Source organism: Homo sapiens, chromosome 10, assembly GCF_000001405.40.
Source record: "Homo sapiens chromosome 10, GRCh38.p14 Primary Assembly".
NCBI classification, from domain to species: domain Eukaryota; kingdom Metazoa; phylum Chordata; class Mammalia; order Primates; family Hominidae; genus Homo; species Homo sapiens.
Window position 1 is genome coordinate 49,988,263 of NC_000010.11, and position 27,656 is coordinate 50,015,918.

At 41.7% G+C, this 27,656-nt stretch overlaps 1 protein-coding gene and 1 long non-coding RNA gene across 9 annotated transcripts in view; both read left to right on the forward strand.

Moving 5' to 3' along the window:
* The window catches only part of TIMM23B-AGAP6 (TIMM23B-AGAP6 readthrough (NMD candidate)), a 68,464-nt gene extending 46,210 nt beyond the window's left edge, over positions 1–22,254 (forward strand). For 4 of the 7 annotated variants that reach the window (NR_158657.1, NR_158659.1, NR_158656.1 and 1 more), the window contains 7 exons: positions 1,046–1,114; positions 3,414–3,482; positions 6,133–6,167; positions 13,734–13,834; positions 16,423–16,458; positions 19,763–19,814; positions 20,449–22,254. This is a non-coding gene — a long non-coding RNA (TIMM23B-AGAP6 readthrough (NMD candidate)). Of the gene's footprint in view, positions 1–488; positions 677–1,045; positions 1,115–3,413; positions 3,483–6,132; positions 6,168–13,733; positions 13,835–16,422; positions 16,459–19,762; positions 19,815–20,448 lie in introns of all 7 variants that reach the window. The other 3 variants (NR_158661.1, NR_158660.1, NR_158658.1) reach the window with 1 other exon arrangement.
* Positions 106–22,237, forward strand: AGAP6 (ArfGAP with GTPase domain, ankyrin repeat and PH domain 6). 2 transcript variants are annotated; one of them, NR_171667.1, is made up of 9 exons: positions 106–676; positions 1,046–1,114; positions 3,414–3,482; positions 6,133–6,167; positions 13,734–13,834; positions 15,187–15,520; positions 16,423–16,458; positions 19,763–19,814; positions 20,449–22,237. NR_171667.1 is itself a non-coding variant. In NM_001077665.3 (8 exons), exons 1-8 carry the CDS (start codon positions 454–456, stop codon positions 21,922–21,924), a joined length of 2,061 nt encoding a protein of 686 aa, NP_001071133.2. In that variant the 5' UTR covers positions 144–453; the 3' UTR covers positions 21,925–22,237. The 2 variants fall into 2 exon arrangements, 1 of the variants encoding a protein (NP_001071133.2); NM_001077665.3 differs by lacking the exon at positions 15,187–15,520 and having other exon boundaries at positions 144–676.
* Positions 22,255–27,656: the final 5,402 nt, after the last annotated feature.

Genomic DNA, 27,656 nt, shown 5'->3' on the forward strand with positions numbered 1-27,656 from the left:
CAGGCAGGGTGGGGCACTGTGAGCTGTCGGGGAGGGCATTGTGAAGTGTGGGGTGGGGCATTGTGTGCCACATGCCTGGGCTCCCACCTGGGGCCAGTGGGCTTCAGTCTGTAGGTGACTACAGAAGGAGGAGGAACTCCGTCTGTTCTCTCTTCAGGCAGTTGTTGTGTCTCTCAGCGCTTGTTGGTTTCACAACCTATTAAATAAGCCGGCTGGTCTTCACCCTCCCAGACAAGTCAACTCAGGGGAGGCAGCAGGGTGCGGGCCTTGGCCCGCAGCCCTAGCCGGGGCCGGGGCCAGGGCTGGTGCCCGGGGCCTCGCTGTGAGGTGGGCAGGCGAGGAGCGGGAAGACCATCTCTGCAAGTGCAGCATAGCCTCGGCCTAGGACAGCGGGAGTGCGTGGCCAAAGCTGTGAGCAGAGGCACAGGTGGTGGCAGACAGTAGAGGCGCCCCATGGGGAACATACTGACCTGTCGTGTGCACCCTAGCGTCAGCCTCGAGTTTGACCAGCAGCAGGGGTCGGTGTGTCCCTCTGAATCTGAGACCTATGAGGCAGGAGCTAGGGACAGGATGGCAGGAGCGCCCATGGCTGCTGCTGTACAGCCTGCTGAGGTGACTGTTGAAGTTGGTGAGGACCTCCACATGCACCACGTTCGTGACCGGGAGATGCCTGAAGGTGAGGAGGTGATAGGTGCCATCTACCCTCGGTTTGCCTCTGGCTGCTGCTGTCCCCATGGTTCCCTTTGAGGCATCCCACACTTCGAGCTCCTTTCTGCTTGTAGCCAGCTTTCCCGGGGGCTGGCCAGGAACAAAAGCTGGCTCTGCCTTGAATTCCCACCCCTTAGTCTTTCCCCACCGAGTCCAGTCAGTTTCTTTTCGCCTCCCCTCCCAATCGCCCAGTTCTTGCTCTCTCATCTCATTCTCCCAGGCTGGCATGGGACCATTTATTTATGGCTCTTGTCGAATAAGCAGCAGTTGAATAAATAAGTTGATAAATTTTTATAAATGATTACATCCTTTTTCTTTTCTCCCTCTATACATATAGCTTTGGAGTTTAACCTTTCTGCCAATCCAGAGTCAAGCACAATATTCCAGAGGAACTCTCAAACAGAAGGTGAGACAACAGTGTCTGTAGCTCTATTTATTATCCTGTGGTACTTTGTTTAGGCTTCTTTGAGCTATTCTCTTCCTTTTCTCAGTAAAAACTCAAATATCCCAACTTTTCAGTACCCATCTTATTTTTTCTTTGTACCTATCCAGATGGTACCTAAGTGAAGGAACCAGGTAAGTGCCTAATTGTTTCCTTTGTTAAAGTAGCCAAATCTCAGGACAGTTCCTATTCAAATATTTGGGGATTTCTTATTTAAAATCAGAATGGAGGTTGCCACGGGAGAGGCTATATGGTATTCTTAATGGGCTGCTTTAAGTCACCTTGATAGAAGCTGCTTAGTTTCTTCTAACTGTAATTTGAACACAAAAGGAAAAAGAAAAAAGGAGAGTGCTTAAAGTAATTGTGAAAGGTGTAAAATGTCACAGCCGGGGCTGCAGAAAAATGGTTGTGTGTGTGTGTTTGGGGTTTCTCAAAGGAGTTTACCTATGAGGCTCTGATTACTTTAAAATTCTTACTTTAACAGAAAATGTGTCTCCAGATTTATTCTGGTGACTTAACAGACTTTATTTACCTGCTTGTTCTAAAAGAGAGGTGGGGATTGGTTCATGGTCAAAACTTTCAAAAGACATGAAACGTCAATGTAGACTTTTAATGTGTAATATAAAGATTGCAGGTTAAAATGTCAGACCTTCCCTGTAAGAGTGTTTGTTGCCGTGGCTCCCCGTTTGTCCCTTCCCCTCCTGACAATAGCATCTTGTTCAAAGATAAGAAAGTTACAGTTTTGGCTGGGCTTGGTGGCTCACGCCTGTAATCCCAGCACTTTGGGAGGCTGTGGCAGGCAGATCACCTGAGGTCAGGAGTTCGAGACCAGCCTGGCCAACATGGTGAAACGCTGTCTCTACTAAAAAAAAAAATACAAAAATTAGCTGGGCGTAGTGGCGCATGACTGTAGTTCCAGCTACTCACAAGGCTGAGGCAGGAGAATTGCTTGGACCTGGGAGGTGGAGGTTGCAGTGAGCAGAGATCACGCCAATGCACTCCAGCCTGGGTGACAGAGCGAGACTCCGTCTCACAAAAATAAAAAGGAAAGAAAGTTGGAGTTTTTTAGTCTCTATGCTGTTGGCAGAGGCAGGGGATGGGAGCCGGTAGAAAAGAGAAAACAATTAGTTCGTTTGCCTCAAAAATTTTGCAAAGAGATGAATCTAAGTAAAAGTAATTCTGGGTAATAATATGGTTCTTGAATAAAAACTGAAATTTTCAAAATAGAAAACATTGCATCATAAACATATTAAATCCAGTTGGCTTATTGGTTTCATTTAAATGCCAGAGATTTCATTACTGTAGAGGAAATGTCTTATAGCTCTTCTATTTAAACTTTGGTCGGGCTCTTAATTTTTAAAGAGGTAAGATAATTAAGACTCATTATGAGTGTGACTTTGTAACTTGGAAGTACTATCTTCACATTTCAAGATATTTAAGGATTGCTTTAGAATAAACAAATGCATTATGTGAATTAATTGATTGTACCTTTATACACAAAGCATGTAAGTACTTGTGTAAACTTATACTCTGCTTGGTGATGTTCGGAAAGCCTGATGGATGTTACACACCAGTTAGTAGATGGGTAGTGTTGGATGAGAGCCCAAAAATGGCTCTTTATTGTCATTCTTTAGGATTACAACACAGTTTATGTATGTCTCACTTGGCCCTTTCCAATAGAAATAAGGCCTGTGTATGTTCTCCCTATGTATTGTTAATGAAGAAATGAAAACTTAGAGATATCACATGACTATGGAAGACAGCTACTCAAGAGAACTAAGGTTCTGTGTCCTCAGAATGAAATGGAAGTGACAGATACGATGAATTTACTTTTTAAAAATTTTAAAAACTCTAGAATACATCTTATATTTTGCCTATAAAATAGACCTGTCTTTTAAAACTTACTGACATCTTGATTTATTTTATGCAAAGTTGATTTTAGACAACTCAAAGCCAAAATTTACCTCTTCTGTTTTTTTTTTTTTTTTTTTTTAATAAAGGAGGGTGTCATTGTGTTACTCTTGCTGGCCTCAACTTCCTGACCTGGGTTCAAGTGATTTTCCCATCTCAGCCTCCTGAGTAGCTGGGACTACAAGCATGTGCCATCTTGCCTGGCTCTATCTTATGTCTATACATTCATTTCAATGGATAAGAATCAAAGTAGAGATAGTGAAATAGCCTAAATGCAGCAGTCGAATAAACGAGTTGATAAATTTTTATCAATGATTACATCTTTTTTTCTTTTCTTCCTCTGTGCATATAGCTTTGGAGTTTAACCCTTCTGCCAATCCAGAGGCAAGCACAATATTCCAGAGGAACTCTCAAACAGATGGTGAGACGACATTGTCTTTTCCACCAAGAGAAAGAATAAAAGCTCTTGTTTGATCAGGTTATAGAAAGTATTTAGAAAAACTCATATTGGTTTAAATTTTTCACCTTTTCACATGTTCACTTGTCTTATTTTAATATGTGATATACTTTCCTTTAGTTGTTATGATGTTAGTGAAAACGTGTAACCTTTTTGTTTATACATTTTGCCATCTTTTTATCAACACAATTAATTTGTCATGTGATGGAGGAGTCATGGATTTCTCTTTATAATTCTTGGATTTATCTTTATTTATAATTAATGGATTTATCTTTATTTATAATCCCTTTTCCCTTGCTCCAAAAAGTACACTTTAAAGATGAATGATAGAACTTAGGCTTCAGCTTGGTTTTCATTTAAACAAATTAAAAAACATAGTTGTTTATCATCAGGGATTGAATCTGTGATTTGGGCCTCCTCTTACACAGTCCTCTGACCACATTCATTTACCACATCCAAGTTCATGCTACTCAAAAGTTTTAGGTTATTAACTTTTTCATTTGATGTAATGTAAATTTAAACATGCCCTACTCCTGCTTATTTCCCTCAATGTTATGTTAAATCCTCATTTATTTGCCAACAAGCCATACACAGCCAAGTTTTCCGGTTGACTTAAACAGCAAGAATACAAGTGAGGGTTCTATAATAATGTGCGAAGTAATGCAGCACAGTAAAACACGGGAGTTTGCAACCTTTGTTTTTATAGTTTGAGTAGACTTTGCCCATCTTGAGTCAGTTATTTCTGGTTAGAATTTGTCTTCATTTTTTACATTACTGTAAAGAGATACTTAAGGCTGGGTAATTTATAACAAAAAGATGTTTAACTGGCTCAAAGATTTTCAGGCTGTACAAACATGGCTTTAACATCTGCTTCTGGTGAGGGCCTCAGCAAACTTATAATCATGATAAAAGGCAAAGGGGAAGCAGGTGGTTCCACACGGTGAAAGAGGGAGGAGAGAGGGGAAGGGGGAAGGTACCACACTTTTTTTTTTTTGTTTTGATATGGAGTCTCACTCTGTTGCCCAGGCTGGAGTGCAATGGCACGATCTTGGCTCACTACAACCTCCATCTCCCAGGTTCAAGCAATTCTCCTGCCTCAGCCTCCCGAGTAGTTGGGACTATAGGTGGGCACCATAACACCTGGCTAATTTCTGTATTTTTGGTAGAGACAGGGTTTCACCATGTTGGCCAGGCTGGTCTGAAACTCCTGACCTCAAGTGATCTACCCGCTTCAGCCTCCCAAAGTGCTGGGATTACAGGCTTCAGCCACCGCACCTGGCCAGTACCACAGTCTTTTAAATTACCATAATGAGAATGTGCTTATTACCATGGGGATGGGACCAAGCCATTCATAAGGAATCCACTGCCATTACCCAAACACCTCCCACTAGGCCCTATCTCCAACATTAAGGGTCACATGTTAACATGAGACTTGGAGGGGCAACATATCCAAAACATATCAGAATTGTATTTCCCAGTTCCTTCCAGAGGCATGGGCTTCTCACACCTAGAGAGCATGGAAGCAGTAAAAGAAAAGCTATTCCATGTCCCTCACTCTTCAGTGGTAGGAGCTTTTGCCTACAAGGCCCTTCCAGCATCAAAGGCAGAGGCAGTGTAGGAAGCAAAGCATGGCCCAAGTCCCTCTTGGGGCTTTTATTATTCTGGCCTCTTTTTAGAGGAAAAAAAAATGATTTTTTGTGCTGCAGACACCATGTCCAATTAGGTTTGTATACTCATTTTAAACATCAAAATTTAGGCCAGGCTCTGTGGCTTACACCTGTAATCCCAGCTCTTTGGGAGACTGAGGTGGGTGGATCACGAGGTTAGGAGATCAAGACCATCCTGGCTAACACAGTGTAACTCTGTCTCTACTAAAAATACAAAAAACAATTAGCTAGGCATGGTGGCATGTGCCTGTACTCCCAGCTAATCAGGAGGCTAAGGCTGAAGAATTGGTTGAACCTGGGAGGCAGAGGTTGCAGTGAGCTGAGATCCCGCCACTGCACTCGAGCCTAGGTGACAGAGTGAGACTCCATCTCAAAAAAAAAAAAAAAAAAAATTAAGATATGTTACTTTCCAGTTGTGTAAAGACCGTTTTTTAATTTTGATTTGTTTTTAGTGACATATTAGTAGATAACCACTAAGTGTGGTTCAAGATGCTTACAGGGATTCTGTTGCATCTAGAGATAGGTGTCTGGTCAGGAAGTAGTTCTTAGAGCTGTTAGCTCTTAGAGTCTGATAATTAAAGTAAGCTATGTATAAATGCAGAATGAGAGAATACTAATGGATCATGGCTCATATATGCAACAGTTAAACTTTTTATTAGCTAAATTTTTCATCTGGCCTAATTTTTTTACCCTTTTCTTTTGTACATGAGGATTCTTTCATTTGTATGTAATAGAAACAAAAAGTAAACTAAATGAAAAGCTAAGTTTTTAGATTTGACTTATGAAATTAATCATGCCAGATAATTTAAATTATAAATTATTGAAAATTATTTTTTAAATGGAATTTTGTCTCATTTTACGTAGGAGTAATCAGTAAGATGTTAACAACTACTTTTATTTTATGGTATTTGTATCAGAAGTGACCAGTTTTTTTTTTTTATTCTTAGTTGTAGAAATAAGAAGAAGCAACTGTACAAACCATGTAAGTAAACACTCAAATACTTAAGAAATTGATAGTTTGACATAAAAGGATGTCTCTCTTGATTTCTTTAAATTACAATGTGGACCTGGTGGTGGTAGCATGGACCTCTTTTTGTGGATTTTCTAAATCTCTTCTATTTTCCTGAGTATTAAATTTATCCAGAAAAGTGTTTAGTTTAGCGTGTCCACCTTTTAAAGATTTCTGACATTTAAGTTAAATTTCAATAGTCTGGTTCAAAAGATCTGCCTTACGGCTGGGCATGGTGGCTAACGTCTGTAATCACAACACTTTAGGAGGCCGAGGCAGGCTGATCATCTGAGGTCAGGAGTTTGAGACAACCCTGACCAACATGGTGAAATTCTGTATCTACTAAAAATACAAAAGTAGCCGGGCGTGGTGGTGCATGCCTGTAATCTCAGCTACTCAGGAGGCTGAGGCAGGAGAATCACTTGAACCCAGGAGGCGGAGGTTGCAGTGAGCCAAGATCGCGCCATTGCACTCCAGCCTGGGCAACAGAGCGAAACTCTGTCTCAAAAAAAAAAAAAAAAAAAAAAGTGCCTGAAATATTTAATCTTATTTTTAATGAAAGAACAAAAATAGAATAGTTAAGTTAATTGCCAGCACTGTCTATTGACTTTCTATCACAGCAGGTAAAAGCATACCTTCCCCGCTACACCATGATCTTATGTTTCTCCCTGTGTTTCTTCCAATTGTAGCACACTTTTTAATTAAATCAGTAATATTTACATGATTATGACTCTGCAAATATTATTCACTGCTAAGTCATATGGTGTTTTCACTGTGTCTCTGCATTCCATGTCCTTCATCCTGTCTCTGAAACAGTTCTGAAATCTGAGCACTTCTGCAATTCTCCTGGATCTTCTTTTTTCCTAGCCTACGTTAGTTTATCTATCCAAATATTGTTAAGTAGCCTCTGGGTGCTCTGTTTGCTTTCACATCCATTATTTTTTAGCATGAAGCTAATTTTCTGACTATATTCATTTGCCTATTTTCTAACAGCTGTTTTTCCCCCAAGTATTGTAGCATTTATCACATGCCTTTCAAAGATATTTTCCATCTGCAAAAGCACATCTGTTTCTTTTTATGTGTGTGTGTGGGGCAACTTTCTTTGGCCTTTTGTCATCCTAGTTCAATATAGCGTGGGTTTCCCTAGATATGCTCGATGTCTGCTTTTCTGGGCTAACTCCTTAAAGTCTTTTGGGATCTCACGTAACTGCTGTCTTGTGTGGGATCGCCTGAGTCCTAGATTCTGTGTTTCCTTCTGTCCTGTTATCATCTCTAGTTGTAGTTGAACACATTTTCCTGGGTGGAGATGTTAAAATCCCTCCTCTTTGATAGAGAGTACACCTCTAGGTTGAATCTAAATTTTATGGTTCTGAAGACATTTTGCAGCTGTGCTCTTATTACAGTGTTGTTCTTGAATCTATTGCCAGTGTGTGATACGTTATTTACAACCAGGTTTTAGTTATCTGCGGAAGCTTTTTAGAATCTCTCTCTCTAAGGTTCTGAAATTTTATAACAGCTTGTTGGGGATCTTTTCATTTTATTGAGGCTACTAAACCTGCAGACTATCTCTTCTTGAGAATTTTTTTTTATTTTCTCTGTTACTTTTTTACTGATAGTCTTGTTATTCAGATGCTAGGCTGCTTAGACCAGTATGCCTGCATTGATTTTTAATTTTTCCCCTTCTATTTTTTTCAGTTTGTCTTTTTATTCTAGTTCTGGGATATTCTGTGACTTTATCCTCTACTATTTCTATTGAATTTTGTAATTTTTGGAGTGTTTTAAGATTTTTTTTTAAAGTTTTGCTCCTGATTTTGACTGGTCCTATCAATTCCTTTTTTCTATTGTTTTGATCTCTTTTCTTGGAGGCTTCCTTCCAATGTGTGGTGGTCCCTGGCCTGCTTTATTTGGAAGCAGGATTTCTGTTAACTGATAGCATCAGTGTGAGGCCTTAGAAGCCTGACTAGCTTTTCATTTGGGAGACCTCAGTGTATTATCTGGGGATCTTTATTGAAGACATTTCAGTTTCTTCTGAGAAGGATCTCCCAATTTTCTGCCTGGAAAGTAAAAGCAGGCCTGGAAAGGAAAAGCAGAGTTAGCGAAGAAAGTTGGAGTTCCATTTTTGGTGTACAGTTTTCTTTATATCTCAGGTTTAAGCCATGGTATCTCTGAGCCAGAAATTCTCAGGTTTGATATATCCAGAGAACACACATCTAAGTTTCTTGTCAGATGGAAGGACAGGTGGACTTGGGGCTCTAGTTAGAGATTTGCAACTGACCTTGCTGGCTTTTTTTTTTTTTTTTCACATTTTACCCTACTTTCCAAAGTGCCATTGGCCTGTAAGTTCACAACCTGCCTTTAGTTCTGCAAGACAAACTGGCTCACTTGTGTTCCAGTCACTTTCTGTAGGCACCAAAGTTGTGTTTCTGTGTTATTTACCACTCCTTTATCTACTTTTTATGTCTCAGCATTTATTAAAAATTATCTCTGTCAACCTTCTGTGCTGGTCATGGGTGTAACCTTTATTTTATGACTGATGAGGCTTCCGGAGGGAGACGAAATAAATTTGTGGTCAATCTATTATATTTAATCCAAATTTAGGACCTGTGTTTAAATCAAAGTCTAATTTGAGTATAATTAATGATATTAAGCCAGAGAATTTTTTAAATTAATGTATCTATAATAAGCATATTACACTTTTCTCCTAAGGCCTTGTTTAATATTTTCATTCAAAGTTTATCCACTGCCATATACTTCCCATTACTTCACAACATAGATGGAGCTGTTTTCCTGAATGCCCAAAGTGTTAGAAATATTTAAGTTAAATAAGATTTGTTCATTTTTAGCCTGGTCAACATAGCAAGAGCTCATGTCTACAAAAAGGTTAAATAACAAATTAGCCAGGCCTGGTGGCATGCGCCTTTCGTATTACCTACTCAGGAGGCTGAGGCAGAGGATCACTTGAGCTCAGGAGTTTGAGGCTGCAGTTAACTATAATTGCACCACTGCACTCCAGCCTGGGCAACAAAGGGAGACCCTGTCTCGGAAAAAGGAAAAAAGTTACTAATTCTTTAAAAACCTATCTAAAATTTGTCCTGCCCAAAAGGAGAGTGAAAAATATGAACTTTAGTCTTTGTTTTATTTTATGTTTGCTGAGAAAAATGCTGTACTTTTATTTATTTATTTATTATTTCCATAGGTTTCTGGGGGAACAGGTGGCATTTGGTGACATGCCTAAGTTCTTTAGTGATGATTTGTGAGATTTAGGTGCACCCATCACCTGAGCAGTATCCGCTGAACCCAATTTGTAGTCTTTTATCCCTCACCCTCCTCCCAGCCTTTCCCCCAAGTCCCCAAAGTCCATTGTATCATTCTTATGGCTTTGCATCCTCATAGCTCAGCTCCCACGTATGAAAGAGAACATGATATTTGGTTTTCCATGCTGAGTTATTTCACTTAGAATAATAGTCTTACTTCCATCCAGGTTGCTGGGAATGCCATGAATTTATTCCTTATTATGGCTGAGGTGGAATTCCTCATATATATATATATATATATATATGTATGTATATCACGGTTTCTTTATCCACTCATTGATTGATGGGCATTTGGGCTGGTTCCATATTTTTGTAATTGTAATTTGTTTGAGTTCCTCATAGATTCTGGATAATAGCCCTTTGTCAGATGTATAGACTGTGAAGATTTCCTCCCACTCTGTGGTTGTCTGTATACTCTGCTGATTGTTCCTTTTCCTGTGCAGAAGCTCTTTAGTTAAGTCTCACCTATTTGTTTCTGTTGCATTTGCTTTTGTGTTCTTGGTCATGAAGTCTTTGCCTAAGCCAGCGTCTAGACGGGTTTTTCCAATGTTATCTTCTAGAACTTTTATGGTTTCAGGTCATAGATTTATGTCCTTGATCCATCTTGAGTTGATTTTTGTGTAAGGTGAGAGTTGAGGATCCAGTTTCATTCTCCCGCATGTGGTTTGCCAATTATCCCAGCACCATTTGTTGAATAGGGTTTACTTTCTTCACTTTATGTTTTAGGTGGCTTTGTTGAAAATCAGTTGGCTATAGGTATTTGAGTTTATTTCTGGGTTCTCTATTCTGTTCCATTGGTGTATGTGCCTATTTTTATATCAGTACCATGCTATTTTGGCGACTATGGCCTTATAGTATAGTTTGAAATCAGGTAATGTCATGCCTCCAGATTTGTTGTTTTTTCTTAGTTTTGTTTTGGCTATGCCGGTTCTTGTTTGGTCCATATAAATTTCAGGATTGTTTTTTCTAGTTCTGTGAAGAAGGATGGTGTTATTTTGATGGGAGTTGCATTGAATTTGTAGATTGCTTTTGGCAGTATGGTCATTTTCACAATATTCATTCTACCCATTCATGAGCATGGGGTGTCTTTCCATTTGTTTGTGTCCATGACTTCATTCAGCAACGTTTTGTAGTTCCCAACGGCATATCAAAAAATAATCCGGCCAGGCACGGTGGCTCACACCTGTAATCCCAGCACTTTGGGAGGCTGAGGGAGACGGATCATGAGGTCAGGAGCGGGAGACGGATCATGAGGTCAGGAGTTCGAGACCAGCCTGGCCAACATGGTGAAATCCCATCTCTACTAAAAATACAAAAGTTAGCCGGGTGTGGTGGCGCTCACCTGTAATCCCATCTACTCAGGTGGCTGAGGCAGGAGAATCGCTTGAACCTCGGAGGCAGAGGTTGCAGTGAGCCAAGATCACCGCACTGCATACTCCAGCCTGGGCAACAGAGCGAGACTCCATCTCAAAAAAAAAAAAAGATAATCCACCATGATCAAATGGGTTTCATACCAGGGATGCAGGGATGGATTAACATACACAAGTCAATAAATGTGATACACCACATAAACAGAATTAAAAACAAAAAATCACATGATCATCTAAACAGATGCAGAAAAAGCATTTGACAAAATGCAGCATCCTTTTATGATTAAAACCCTCAGCAAAATCAGCATAGAAGGGTCACAGCTCAATATAAGAAAAGCCATCTATGACAAACCCACAACCAACATAATACTGAAAGGGGGAAAAGTTGAAAGCATTCCCCCCGAGAACTGGAACAAGACAAGGATGCCCACTCTCACCACTTGTATTCAACATACTACTGGAAGGCCTAGCCAGAGCAATCACACAAGAGAAAACAATAAAAGGCATGCAGATCAGTAAAGAGGAAGTCAAACTGTTGCTGTTTGATGATGATATGATCATATACCTAGGAAACCCTAAAGACTCCTCCAAAAAGCTCCTAGAACCGATAAATGAATTCAGCAAAGTTTCAGGAGACAAAATTAATGTACACAAATCAGTAGCTCTGTTATACCCCAGAAGCGACCAAGCTTAGAATCAAACCAAGAACTCAACCCCTTTTCTGATAGCTGCAAAAATAAACTAAACTAAAATAAAATACTTCGGAATAGACCTAACCAAGGAGGTGAAGGATGTCTACAAGGAAAACAACTTTAGTATTTTTAATGGGTTAAAATGAGAGGCAGCAGGTACAGCAGAAGAAGTCAGTGCGTGGGCATCCGCATCCAATGGGTACTGCACCTTTGATGGTAAGGCTTTGGTTTTGACTTACTAAATTACTAGGTACGATTATTTTCTAGTTTTTGTCATTAAACCTTAAAACTACTAAGTAACCCCTTCCATTTCTTGTTAAATATTGTAAAATTTCATACTCTCATTTATGCTGCCTGACGTTAGAGTATTTGTTTCTATTTTGTGACTACCTTAAATAATACCTATAAAGAGTAAACTGTTAGTAGTGTTTTTGCTGTAATTAAATGTAGTAAGACTTACCTTCCAAATGATAACTGAATTGTCAAACACTTGTCGAAGTTTTGGATTTACTCAAAATTCTATGCTCAGCAGCTGGAGGTAGGAAGAGTAAGGGCCCTCCCTTACTCTTATGGAGAGGCATACTTTCTCACAAGGGGAATACTCTGCAGGAATTAGCATCTTGTAAGCAGTGGTGAATTCAACTAATTAGTGTATAAAAATACATTTTTTGGTGTGGCTGCCGACAAAGAGATCCAAGAGGGTAGATGGAGTCGAGCTTGCTGAAGCAAGGAAAGAGAAAAGCAGTATTCTAGGCAGAGAGCAGGGGTAGAGCAGGAAAATGGCTAGGTGCAGGTCAGATGATTTATAGAATGCAATTGATCAAGTTTTGAAGTGAATGCAAAGTATTCTCCGAGAGTCTCATTTGAGTCATGTCTTGGCAGTCTTATTTAAACATGAAGTGAAAGTTAGATTTTTTAAGTTGTCATTTGTTTTCAGGGTGTGAGAGAATATTTAAGTGATACTCTTTTTATCCTCCACATAAGAAAATAGGACTAGAGAAACCTATGGCTTCCTCACTTGTTGGTGGCCTAGCAGCCCTGGCACACAGAGCCTCTGAATCTGAAACACTTCTTTTGTAACAATATCACCTGAAATAATACATTTAGGATTAGTAATTTAGTAAATGCATTAGTCTTGTATTCACTGCAATAAAATGCTCTTGTAGCAGGATTATTTAATACATTACATTTTATCGTAGTAAATAAATAATAGAAGGGCTGGGCGCCGTGGCTTACGCCTGTAATCCCAGTACTTTGGGAGGCTGAGGCAGGCAGATCGCGAGGTGAGGAGATCGAGACCATCCTGGCTAACACGGTGAAACCCCGTCTCTACTAAAAATACAAAAAGTTAGCCGGGCATGGTGGTGGGCGCCTGTAGTCCCAGCTACTCAGGAGGCTGAGTCAGGAGAATGGCGTGAACCCGGGAGGCGGAGCTTGCAGTGAGCCGAGATTGCACCACTGCACTCCAGCCTGGGCGACAGAGCGAGACTCCGTCTCAAAAATAAATAAATTAATTAATTAATTAATAGAAATTCTCAGCTGCTTTTTATTGCTGCAGAAAAAAAATGAAATCTTATTTTAAACTTTTCTTTTTTTTTTTTTTTTGAGACGGAGTCTCACTTTGTCTGCCGGCCTGGAGTGCAGTGGCGCGAACTCGGCTCACTGCAAGCTCCGCCTCCTGGGTTCACCCCATTCTCCTGTTTCAGCCTCTCAAGTAGCTGGGACTACAGGGGCCTGCTACCACGCCCGGCTAATTTTTTGTATTTTTAGTAGAGACGGGGTTTCACCATGTTAGCCAGGATGGTCTCGATCTCTTGACCTCGTGATCCGCCCGCCTCCACCTCCCAAAGTGCTAGGATTACAGGTGTGAGCCACCGCGCCCCGCGAAGCCGACTTTTCCCATTATTTTTAACGGTAATTCATAAAATCCTTGTTAGGTTTGATGACAGGTACCATATTAAGGGCAGCATTTTATAACCCATATCTTAAACATCATCTCTGGAAGTTGAGAGCCTCCAATGGGTTTTCTATAGAGTGCACATGATACCACACTCAGGCAGTTCATGGAGTGTAAGACATATCTTAGTGCTTTGTCATTTGACATTTTAACTGAGAAAATAATACACTTTGATAAGTTTGACTTACAGTTCCCTTCCCCTTCAGGTATCTGCTGTGCGTTTCAGTCAACAATACAGCTTGTGTTCGACAATATTCCTTGATGACAGCACAGCCATCCAGCATTATCTTACAATGACAATAATATCGTGAGTACAACTATGCTGCCGAGGGACAGATTCCTTTATTCTAAAATTATTTCAGTCATTTGGTTGTCCTTTTCAGCAATCAGTTTAAGAAATTGGAGTCAACCATATATTGATATCCAGATTCTGAATATTAAGTATCAGTTTCTCTTTTAATCTTAGACGTCGTGGTGGAAGGAAAAATCAGTTAGCAAAGAAGCAATCCCAGAAACAGTGTATCTTTTTGATGCCTTTATGCCTTTAGACAATGTTGAACACAGTGAGAAGGATAGGTTCCCTTTATTGAATGTTTTTTGTGGAAACTTAGTTTTTCAATGCATCATAGGCCTAAATCAGTGTGCACTACTTTGGACATTATCCTTGGAAGAAGGAACAGCTTTTCTTCTTCTGGCACCACAGTGTATCTGCATTTGAATTTCTCCCATTGTGCATGAGCACCTCATGGGCCACAAAGATGCGCTTTGAGAGCACCCTGAGATGAAGTTTATTTTAAAAGGAACAACAACCAACACCACCACCAGCTCCACAGGGGCTGTCCAGTGTACATTATTCTCATCTTCTTGGGTTATTAGTCTTGATTTTTAGAACACAGTTTGGAAAGTGCTAATTTAGAATATTAATGTCTTTATCTTTAATTTAACTTTTCATTCTGTACACATAACTAGCTTATAAACAATTTTGTTTCAAATGCACTAGCCTTTTTAACTAATTCAATTGTCAATAACTTTTACTTCAATTAAAAGTGGAAAGTTTACACTCATAATAATGTCACTTTCCTCCCTCCCTTTTAACAATAGTTGAGAGGAAATTGTGTTTCGAACAAAAACTGGACTCAAACTCTGTCTCAAGTCCTGAGCTTTGGGACCTATTGAGTAATCACTAAATGTCTGTAGTCAGCTAAGTCTCTTAAATCTTTGAGCACACATACACAAAAATTACTTTGACTAGAGTCCCTGGCTTCTTCTGAGTTCCAAAGATTTTGATATGTTAGCATATAATTCAAAAGCAGCTTTGAAGATTAATTTTGCTGAAACAAATTTCGTGCTTTTTTCCTCATTATTCTACTTTTTAGAAGTCTACTTTTGAGAGTATAGTAAGTTTTAATTTGCCACCAGCAAGTTTGAGAAATGATCATTTGGTGTATTCACTATTGGTGAAATAAAGTTATTGAACAAATTAATAGGGCAAATTGGCTTCAAGAAGATATTTTGAAAAATGTTTTATCATGAATCAGTAGTGCACTGTTGTCAGTGGGATAGGTGGAACTCGCTGAGATCACTTATGCAAGGTTTTTTTCAAAATACAAGTCTGCAAACACATGTATCTTCCCATCTCCACTTTCCCTCTGTCTCTAGGCACTGAGAAGCCTTTTAGGAAAATCGGGATGGATGTGAGGCATCTTTCTGTGAAGAAAAGCATCCCAGAAGATTCTGATTTTCACCCCAGCTCAGTCATTCCAAACTTTGCTGCTGATTGAAATCACCTGGGAAACGTTTACCAAGAACCTTGATGCCCAAAGCCATACCCAATACTAATTAAATTAAAATGTCTCATGTTGAAGATGAGGCAGATATTAAAGCTTCTCAGGCGATTTTAATGTGCAGCAAAGTTTGAGAGCCACTGCTTAATTTGAGTTTAGGACGAGAAACTGCTCCTATTTGGTGGGACCTTGGGCAAGTCAGTTTTAAGGTCTGTTTCCCTGATCTGTAAAACGAGTGTTGAATTAAATGTCACATAAGGTCATTGGTCCTTTCCAGCATGTAACTTTAAATTCTGTGATTTTAAAATTATTTCAGAGATGAAAACTACTTGAAGCACTATAGACATATCCATCTCACATGCTAATATTACAGGCTTTTTAAAAAGTGCTAATATTGTGTAGACCTATTAGTAGAATTGAGATTTGCCTTCCCTCAGTTGTTTTGAGACTCACTCTACAAAATTAGCTGGGCGTGGTGGCACATGCCTGTAATCCCAGCCACTTGGGAGGCTGAGGCAGGAGAATCTCTTGAACCCGGGAGGCAGAGGTTGTGGTGAGCCGAGATCACACCATTGCACTCCAGCCTGGGCAACAAGAGCGAAACTCCACCCACCCCACCCCCCCAAAAAAAAATTATCTGAGCATAGTGGCGCAAACTTGTAGTCCCAGCTTCTTGGGAGGCTGAGGCATGAGAATCGCTTGAACCTGGGTGGTGGAGGTTGTGAGGAGTCAAGATGGCACCACTGCAGTCCAGTCTGAGCAAGAGAGACAGACTCTGGGTCAAAAAATAAATAAATACATAAAATAAATCGCATGGGACGAAAGGTTTCATGGGTAGAAAAGCATATAACAGGGAAATCTGTTATTATTTATATATTGTAATCACCAACAGAAACGCGTCTTCTAACGGCATATTTCCTTGCATTTTGGTTCTCATATTTTTGTAAAAAACAAAGAAATGAAAACAAAGTGCCCTTATGGTACTGTTCTGAACTAGAAGATTTGAATTTCAGGGCCGCTAGGAGAGTTTCCTCTGCCCCCCTTTTAAAAAATGTCTTCAGGCCTAACAAATGATAACATCTATTGTTATGAATTTTTTTTCCTTCCACAGTGTGACCTTGGAGATACCTCATCATATCACACAAAGGTGAGCTTTTTAGAAACCTGTCTTGTTATTCTAGCTAATTACTTTGCAAGATATCAAGCTCAGTGTTAGGTCACAGCTCTAGACATCATAAGCTGTATTGTGCCTACTAAAATATCGAAGCAAATTATTTGTATTTTCTTTGTTCCTTAAGACTCTCATAATTCTTAAATGACTGAGAATCTCAAAGAGTATGTGTTTATATTGATTATATTGATATTTAGTGTGGTAGAATTATACAGTTGAAATTTTTTCAAAATCTGTTTTTAGTTTAGATTTCACAGCCTTACCACTGTTGATATTATGGGCTAGATAATGCTTTGTTGTGAGGACTGTCTTGTGCATTGCAGAGAGTTTAGCGGTATTCATGGCCTCTACCAACTAGATGTCAGTAGTAACCCATGACCCAGGTTATAACAACAGAAAATATTCCTTGAGAACAGTATTGTTAACAGAAATTTTTCATTGAAAAATAACTTTTCTACAACAAAAAGTTGAGTAAAAAGTGCGTCATGTATTTATATTATTTGAAGTCTCTCATGTTGAGCTTAATAGGAGACAAATGGATTCTCTAGAGCTTTCTTTGCAATTTGCTTTAAAGAAGCAATAAGAGGCTGGGCACGGTGGCTCACGCCTGTAATCCCAGCACTTTGGGAGGCTGAGGCAGGCGGATCACAAGGTCAGGAGATCGAGACCATCCTGGCTAACACGGCAAAACCCCGTCTCTACTAAAAATACAAAAACTTAGCTGGGCGTGGTGGCACGCACCTGTAGTCCCACCTATTCTGGAGGCTGAGGCAGGAGAACCGCTTGAACTTGGGAGGCGGAGGTTGCAGAGAGCTGAGATGGTGCCATTGCACTGCAGCCTGGGTGACAGAGCAAGACTCTGTCTAAACAAACAAACAAAAAAAGCAATAAGCTGGTGGGGCGCAGTGGTTCACATCTGTAATCCCAGCATTTTGGGAGGCCGAGGTGGGTGGATCACTTGAGGTCAGGAGTTTGAGACCAGCCCGACCAACATGGTAAAACCCGCCTCTACTGAAAGTACAAAAAATGGCTGGGCGTGGTGGTGCATGCCTGTAGTCCCAGTTACTTGGGAGGCTGAGGCAGGAGAATCGCTTGAGCCTGGGAGGTGGAGGTTGCAGTGAGCCGAGATCTCGCCATTGCACCCCAGCCTGGGTGACAGAGAGAGACTCTGTCTCAAAAAAAGAAAAAAGAAGCAATAAGATGACCTAACCTCATGCAAATATGTAGTTGGTAGAAGGTGTATTTTTAAAGTTTTCAGACAGTTGTGGGTATTTGTTAACACTAAATCAAAACTTCACAAGTGGTGGTTTCTTAAATTAGTTACGGTGGCATTTTACATATTAATAAATTTATTCCATCAGTACTCATTGATCTTTCTTGCACAGTAAATGGATCTTTTGCTCCATACTTGTATTTATAATATCATGCATTAGTTACTTGGAATATATTGGTTTATGTTTTATTGTGTCAAAAATCACTTTTAGTTGAACCACCAATCTTACTTTAACACGCCTTTAAGTATTGAAAAGCTGCCAAGCCTACAGTAGAAGGAACAAGTTTTTCAAAGTCCAGAGGAAAGCTTAAATTTTATCATTGGGAACAAATACGTATTTCCCTTGAAGTGACAACCTCTCACTTCATTTATTTTTGAGAATGATAGTTGAACTGGTTTTTTAGACCGAGTTTCACTCTGTCACTTGGCTGGAGTGCATTGGCATGATCTCAGCTCAAGCAATCCTCTCACCTCAGGCTCCTTTGTAGCTGGGACCACAGATGTGTGGCACCATGCCAGGCTAATTTTCTTATATGTTTGACAGTGACAGGGTTTCGTTATGTTGCCTAGGCTGGTCTCGAACTCCCGAAGGAGCTCAAGCCATCTGCCTGCTTTGGCCTCTCAAAGTGCTGGGATTTTACAGGCGTGAGCCACTGCGCTGGCCCAGTTGTACTTTTAAATAAAAATGATGTTCTGTGAAAAAAGTGATTTTTCAGTTCACAGTTAAATCACGGATTCTTTAAAAACAAAAAAAAAAGCGCTTCTGGTTAACTTTCCACTTATTCAGAATATTAGAGACATGTCAAGATTTAACAACATTAATTTTTACTGCTTCATCAAAGACGTTCTTACGAAATTCAGGCTATGTTTTTTACCTGTAGGGGACAGTGAAGAATAGAATGACTACTAATGTAATTGGTACCACTGCCTTGATTTATGCTGAGAAACCAGCCATTGTACCCACTTTTGCTTTTATATAATCATGGCAAGTGTCAATGAAAAAGCAGGCAATGACTTTGTATTACTTTCACAAATTTTTAAAATTTTTCATCAGCTTTCTCAGGTTTAATTAGTATGATTCAGAACAGTGTTGGCCAGGCACAGTGGCTCAGGCCTGTAATCCCAGCACTTTGGGAGGCTGAGGCAAGCGGATTACCTGAGGTTAGGAGTTCAAGACCAGCCTGGCCAACATGGTGAAACCACATCTCTACTAAAAATACAAAACTTAGCCAGGAGTGGTGGCAGGTGCCTGTAATCCCTGCTACTTGGGAGGCTGGGGTAGGAGAATCACTTGAACCTGGGAGGCGAAGGTTGCCATGAGCCGAGATCACACCATTGCACTCCAGCCTGGGCAACAAGAGTAAAACTTGGTCTCAAAAAAAAAAAAAAAAAAAAAAAAAAGAACAGTTATGACCTCTTAGGCCTTCTGGAAGGGGTCTTCGGGATCCCGAGAGGTCCACACAGCACATTTGGAGAACCACTGGTTTATACACAGGCACAATGCATTAGTTTTACAAAGTTTAAAGTTCATCAAAGACTGGCCTCTTAAAAAGGCAGATGAGTTTGTCATTCAAACAACAGAAAGTACATAAATACATCATGAGAGTATACTACAGAGAACTAAAGAGAAAGGAAGCTAGGAAATCTGAATCACATTTACATTTATTAAAGTTTACTACTACTGCTTTGTAGAACATTCTTGTGTTTCAATGTGTGGTTAGAAGAGTGAAAATATGTTTGGTTTATTGCCATGGCCTGTTAGGGAGAGTCAATACTCACGGGCATTTCTGACTGGTTATCATATAAAAGACTTCACGATACAGGCCATGATGTGCTGAGAAAGAAGAAGTCAGGAAACCCTCTGCAAGTCAGGATCCAATAGAAGAATTCATAAAAACTGCTTTGGTAAAGTAAACACCAAAGCACACAGGAGGCAGTATTTTACTAAACAAATATTATACTAAGATATTAACAGTTTTTGAAGTAATGCGCTTTCTTATTTTATAGAGATGCAGATAGAACTTTGAGCATACCTGATGAACAGTTACACTCATTTGCGGTAAGTGGCACTTTTATTGAGGTTGTATTTTCATCATACACTTGTATCTGTTTCATGCTGAAGTCAAAGCCATCTTTTTTTAAATCTTCCCCATTTCATGTTGCATTTAGTCATCTTAAGTGTTGTAAAAAGAATGTGCTGGAGTAAGAACTGATCTGCAGCTCTGTTTAGTTAGTGAGCTAGTATGAGTAAATATACTATCCAAACAACAGAAGATGTATCTTTTTTTTTTTTTTTTTTTTTATGGACTCTCTTTCTGTAGCCCAGGCTGGAGTGCAATCGCGCGATCTTGGTTCACTGCAGGCTCTGCCTCCCAGGTCCCTGTTCAAGCAATTCTCCTGCCTCAGCCTCCTGAGTAACTGGAATTACAGGCATGTGCCACCATGCCCAGCTAATTTTTTTTTCTTTTTTTTTTTTGTAAAGACAGGGTTTCACCATGTTGGCCAGGATGGTCTTGAACTCCTGACCTCGTGATCCACCCACCTTGGCCTCCCAAAGTGCTGTGATTACAGGTGTGAGCCACCATGCCTGGCCCAGAAAATGTATCTTTTTAAAAGGTAATTGTGAGCTGTCTATAGGACCCTGCAAGCCACTACCCAATTTTTGAAGCCATTCCTCCTCCTGTTCCACACAGGTTTCCACCGTGCACATTATGAAGAAAAGAAATGGAGGTGGGAGTTTAAATAACTATTCCTCCTCCATTCCATCGACTCCCAGCACCAGCCAGGAGGACCCTCAGTTCAGTGTTCCTCCCACTGCCAACACACCCACGCCCGTTTGCAAGCGGTCCATGCGCTGGTCCAACCTGTTTACATCTGAGAAAGGGAGTGACCCAGACAAAGAGAGGAAAGCCCCGGAGAATCATGCTGACACCATCGGGAGCGGTAGAGCCATCCCCATTAAACAGGGCATGCTCTTAAAGCGAAGTGGGAAATGGCTGAAGACATGGAAAAAGAAATACGTCACCCTGTGTTCCAATGGCATGCTCACCTATTATTCAAGCTTAGGTGATTATATGAAGAATATTCATAAAAAAGAGATTGACCTTCAGACATCTACCATCAAAGTCCCAGGAAAGTGGCCATCCCTAGCCACATCGGCCTGCACACCCATCTCCAGCTCTAAAAGCAATGGCCTATCCAAGGACATGGACACCGGGCTGGGTGACTCCATATGCTTCAGCCCCAGTATCTCCAGCACCACCAGCCCCAAGCTCAACCCGCCCCCCTCTCCTCATGCTAATAAAAAGAAACACCTAAAGAAGAAAAGCACCAACAACTTTATGATTGTGTCTGCCACTGGCCAAACGTGGCACTTTGAAGCCACGACGTATGAGGAGCGGGATGCCTGGGTCCAAGCCATCCAGAGCCAGATCCTGGCCAGCCTGCAGTCATGCGAGAGCAGTAAAAGCAAGTCCCAGCTGACCAGCCAGAGCGAGGCCATGGCCCTGCAGTCGATCCAAAACATGCGTGGGAACGCCCACTGTGTGGACTGTGAGACCCAGAATCCTAAGTGGGCCAGTTTGAACTTGGGAGTCCTCATGTGTATTGAATGCTCAGGTATCCACCGCAGTCTTGGCCCCCACCTTTCCCGTGTGCGATCTCTGGAGCTGGATGACTGGCCAGTTGAGCTCAGGAAGGTTATGTCATCTATTGTCAATGACCTAGCCAACAGCATCTGGGAAGGGAGCAGCCAGGGGCAGACAAAACCCTCAGAAAAGTCCACGAGGGAAGAGAAGGAACGGTGGATCCGTTCCAAATATGAGGAGAAGCTCTTTCTGGCCCCACTACCCTGCACTGAGCTGTCCCTGGGCCAGCAGCTGCTGCGGGCCACCGCTGATGAGGACCTGCAGACAGCCATCCTGCTGCTGGCACATGGCTCCTGTGAGGAGGTGAACGAGACCTGTGGGGAGGGAGACGGCTGCACGGCGCTCCATCTGGCCTGCCGCAAGGGGAATGTGGTCCTGGCGCAGCTCCTGATCTGGTACGGGGTGGACGTCATGGCCCGAGATGCCCACGGGAACACAGCGCTGACCTACGCCCGGCAGGCCTCCAGCCAGGAGTGCATCAACGTGCTTCTGCAGTACGGCTGCCCCGACGAGTGTGTGTAGTATCTGTTTTATTTGACTGCAGTCTCCTTGGTGCAAAAACAAAATGGGAAAAATAAGGATAACTCAGAATTTCAAAAGGAAATCACAAATTCAGCTAATATTAGCATTTTCAGTACTTTTCGTAAACTAAGTAAATACACAAAATGTTGATTTTTCTGACCATAAGACGTATTTTATGTCCTTCTGCCAAGGTGGATTTGTTAGTCTCAGGCCCTCCTGGCCACATTGCCCAAGTCACACAGGCTTCTGTATTATGTATTTAGATAAAATGTGTGAAAACATATTTGAAATAAAGTTCATAAATATGCATTGATTTTTGTACACATGGCACCTCTTTTTCATTTTTATTTTTATTTTTTTTGGACGATGTTTTGCTCTGTCACCCCAGCTGGAGTGCAGTGGCGTGATATCTGCTCACTGCAAGCTCTGCCTCCCGGATTCACACCATTCTCCTGCCTCAGCCTCTCAGGTAGCTGGGACTACAGGTGCCTGCCACCACACCTGGCTAATTTTTTGTATTTTTAGTAGAGACGTGGTTTCACCATGTTAGCCAGGATGGTCTCGAACTCCTGACCTCGTGATCCACCTGCCTCGGCCTCCCAAAGTGTTGGGATTACAAGCGTGAGCCACCGTGCCCAGCCCATGGCACCTCTCTTAATTTATAAATTGAACTGGATGTGAAGTAATAATGTCAGTTAGTTGAGATAAGAGGGTTACAGATTGGCTGGGCGCAGCGGCTCACACCTGTAATCCTAGCACTTTGGGAGGCCTAGGCGGACTGATCACCAGGTCAGGAGATTGAGACCATCCTGGCTAACATCATGAAACCCCATCTCTACTAAAAAATACAAAAAATTAGCTGGGCATGGCCGGGCGTGGTGGCTCACACCTGTAATCCCAGCACTTTGGGAGGCCGAGGCAGGCGGATCACAAGGTCAGGAGATCAATACCATTCTGGCTAACATGGTGAAACCCCGTCTCTGCTAAAAATACAAAAAAAAAACTTAGCCAGGTGTGGTGGCGGGCACCTGTAGTCCCAGCTACTTGGAAGGCTGAGGCAGGAGAATGGCGTGAACCCAGGAGGCGGAGCTTGCAATGAGCTGAGATTGCACCACTGCACTCCAGCCTGGGCGACCAAACGAGACTCCATCTCAAAAAAAAAAATTAGCTGGGCATGGTGGCGGGCACCTGTAGTCCCAGCTACTTGGGAGGCTGAGGCAGGAGAATGGCATGAACTCAGGAGGCAAAGCTTGCAGTGAGCAGAGATTGTGCCACTGCACTCCAGCCTGGGCAACAGAGCGAGACTCGGTCTCAAAGAAAAGAAAAAGAGGGTTACAGATCACTGCACATGGAAAATATTCCCAGCAGTAAACACTTCCATTAATGTGATCTACAGCTTTTAAAAAGGAGCATCTCAGAATAAGATGGTGGTACAATTTGCTGATTGAGAAAGGAAAAAAAAAAACAACACATGAGTATATTACAAAGGGAAAAGAAGGAATGTGATTTCTCATGATTGAAAGCTTGATTTAGATCGCATACAGCTTTTGCTACCCAAGACCAAGCGGCTCTGGCAAGACAGGGTTGTTTTCCGAATGCCAGACCGAGGTGCCTTATGAAGGCAGCTGCCGATGGTTCCAGATGTAGAGAGATAGGTGATGCAGGAGGGAAAGCTGGATTGGAAAAGGGAGAGTTTTGTAGACGGGCTACGCTCATTGTGCCTTTGAAAGAGCAGAGCCGGCAGCCTGTAGTCATCATTTGGATATACAGGACTAGAGCATGAATCTGATATAGAGCTACAGAATGAAGAGCAACAGCAGCTGTTTAAATACCGAGAAAGTGTGTAGAATGAAATGGGACAAGCCAAGCATGGTGTTTTCATGCCTTTAGTCCTAACTACTTTGGAGGCTGAGATGGGGGAATTACTTGAGCTCAGCAGTTTGAGTCCAGCCTGGGCCAGATGGTGAGACCCTGTATCTTAAGAAAAGAAAAAATAAGACCAGGTACAGTATCTCATGCCTGTAATCCCAGCACTTTGGGAGGCCAAGTTGAGAGGACTGCTCGAGTGTAGGACTTCAAGACCAGACTGGGCAATAAAGTGAGACCCATTTCTACCAAAAAAAAATCAAGAAATTAGCTGGACATGGTGGCACATGCCTGTGGCCCCAGTTACATGGCATGGCAGGCTGAGGCAGGAAGTTCACTTGAGCCCAGGAGGTGGAGGCTGCAGTGACCCATATTCATGCCACTGCACTCCAGCCTGGGCAACAGAGTGAGACCCTCTCTCAAAAACAGATAAAGTGGACAGAAAATAGGTCGGTAAGGACTAATCATTTAAGGGACAAGCCCCCAGAAGAGTGGCTACTAGAGTGGGAGGAGGAAAAGCAGAAGGAGAAAGAGTTGAAGATAGGCGAGGCTGTGGTCCCAGTGCTGAATTCTGCCAAGCAGTGACTTGATTCATGAACACTCACTGGATGCTGACTCTGTTGCTCTTCTGAGTGCTGGGGTAGAGGAGAGGAGAGGTGGAGCACAGTTCTTGCTTTTATGAGCTTATGTTCTAGGAAATTCAAACAAGTATTTTTTCAGGTAGTATGAAATAGCAGGAAGAGGAAGCAGGCTAAAGGGACACAGAGTGATTGGGGGCTATTTTAAGTAGAATGATAAGGAAGAGCCTGTCTAGAGAGCTATTTGAACAGTGACCTGACTGAAGGGACAACAGAAAGCAGTGCTGACATTACAGGTAGCAGGATGACTGCCAAGACAGAAACGCATTTCATATGTGTTTGAGGAACAAACAGCAAGGTGACCAGCATGGGGAGAGTGAAGAATGAGGGAAACCTTGAATGAGAATAAAGCAATTCCATTTTGGATGCTAATCTGCCATATTCTGATTAATCCCAGTTCCAAGAATTCATCTACGATTTCTATTTTATCTTTTTAACAAAATTATTTTTTATTTTTTATTTTTTGAGACTGAGTCTCACTCTGTCTCCCAGGTTGGACTTCAGTGGCACAATCTCAGCTCACTGCAAACTTCACCTCCTGGGTTCAAGCGATTCTCCTGCCTCAGCTTCCCGAGTAACTGGGATTACAGGCGCCTGCCACCACGCCTGGCTAATTTTTGTATTTTTAGTAGAGACGAGGTTTTACCGTGTTGGCCAGGCTGGTCTGGAACTCCTGACCTCAGGTGATCCGCCCACCTTGGCCTCCCAAAGAGCTGGGATTGCAGGCGTGAGCCACCGTGTCTGGCCATACACATCCCTGCTGAAGCCCGCATTACCCTTCCCCTATGCTATAGAAGCCCTGGGTCGGGGGGGTGGGGGTAATGGCACAGGGATCCACCATCTTATCTTGGTGCCATCCCTGACTTGCCTTCTGTTCATAAACGCCTATTAAATGTTTCTTTCTGAGAAACTGGATTTGTCAGCCTCTTTCTTTGGTATCTCAGGTTCCTTGGCCTTTGCGGGTAGGTTTATATAGACCTGCTCAGCACAGGACAGGCAGTTTCTCAAAAAATTAAAAATAGAATTACCAAATGATCCGGCAATATCACTTCTGGGTATATAGCCAAAATAATTGAAAGCAAGGTCTCATAGAAATATGTGTACACTGATATTTATAGCAGTGGTATTCACACTCGTCAAAAGATGGATGCAGCCGAATTGTCCATAGGCAGATGAATTGATAAAATGTGGTATATACATACAATAAAATATTCTTCAGCCTTAAAAAGGAAGGAAATTCTAACACATGCTACAACATGGATGAACATTGAGGACATTATGCTAAGTGAAATAAGCCAGTTAGAAAAAGACAAATACTGTGTTCTTTCACTTATGTGAAGCGTCCAGACTGAGTAAGCAAACTAATAGAAACAGAAAGTAGAACGGGGGTTGCCAGGGACATGGGGAAGGGAGAAAATGGGAAGTTGCTTAGTGGATATAGAGTTTTGGTTTTGTCAGATGAGAAAGTTCCGGAGATTGGTTGCATGGCAATGTGAATATACCCTACATTACCCAACCCAAGGGCTCTCCTTGACCCTGTTCCAACTGTCACTTAGAAGTGGTTAAGGTAGTAAATTTTATGTGTGTTTTACCACAATTCAAAATAGAATTATTATTTTTTTATTATAATTTTTTGAGATCCCTCACTCTGCTGCCCAGGCTGGAGTGCAATGGCGCCGTCTCGGCTCACTGCAACCTCTGCCTTCTGGGTTCAAGCGATTCTCCTGCCTCAGCCTCCCAAGTAGCTGGAACTTACAGGCACATGCCACCATGCCCAACTAATTTTTGTATGTTTAGTAGAGACAGGGTTTCACCATGTTTGCCAGGCTGGTCTCGAACTCCTGACCTCAGGTGATCCACCTGCCTTGGCCTCCCAAAGTGCTGGGATTACAGGTGTAAGCCACCATGCCCAGCTGTCAAAATAGTTTTTTTTGTTTTTTTTTTTTTTTTTGAGATGGAGTTTTGCTTTTGTTGGCCAGGCTGGAGTGCAATGGCAGGATCTCGGCTCATGGCAACCTCCACCTCCCGTGTTCAAGCAATTCTACTGCCTCAGCCTCCCGAGTAGCTGGGATTACAGGCACGCACCACCATGCCCAGCTAATTTTGTATTTTATTTTAGTAGAGATGGGGTTTCTCCATATTGATCAGGCTGGTCTCCAACTCCTGACCTCAGGTGATCCACCCACCTCGGCCTCCCAAAGTGCTGGGATTACAGGTGTGAGCCATTGTGCCTGGTCTTTTTTTTTTTTTTTTTTTTTTTTTTGGGATGGACCTTCGCTCTTGTTATCCAGGCTGGAGTGCAATGGCACGATCTCAGCTCACTGCAGCCTCTCCTCCTGGGTTCAAGCGATTCTCTTTCCTCAGCCTCCTGAGTAGCTGGGATTACAGGCATGCACCACCACGCCTGGCTAATTTTGTATTTTTAGTAGGTATGGGGTTTCTCCATGTTGATCAGGCTGGTTTTGAACTCCTGACCTCAGGTGATCCACCCGCCTCGGCTTCCCAAAGTGTTAGGATTACAGGCGTGAGCCACTGCGCCTGGCCTGAAAAAAAATTTTAAAGTTTGAGAAAATACAAAATTTTCATAGTCTCCATGTATTTCTCCTAAGATCTTTCCCCGTATGAGGGGGAAAGATAGTAACTTTACAACGGAGAAAACCAGCAGAAACCTGAACCAAATGAACAAGTTCAACATCATCAGTAAGAAGCACTATCAATGCCATAACTCTGATGGAATGCACTGGGAAGGATTCCACATCATTTTTGTGCTGTAATTGCCAAAAGTGTGTAACTTCAGTCCAATCATGGAAATACATCAGACAATCCCAAATCGAAGAACATTTGACAAATAGTGATCAGTACTGTTTCAAAATGTCACGGTTATGAAAGATAAGGAAAGACTGAGGAACTGTTATTGCAGTCCTACAAAACGGCGAGAGACTAAGAAATAACTAAATGCAGCGTGATCCTGGGTGGAATTTGGGAACAGAAAAAGGACATTAGTGGAAAAAGTGGTGAAACTCCAATAAGGTCTTTTGTTTAGCGAATATGTTCATTTTAAATTAGTTAAATTATTTAAATATATTTAAACATTATTTAAATGTATTAAATTAATAAAATTGGTTATTTTGTGAAATAATTTTAATATAGTTAAATATGAGAATGTGGATTTCCTGGTTCTGATCACCGTACTGTGGCTATCTAAGAGGTGAATGTTCAGGGAGGCTG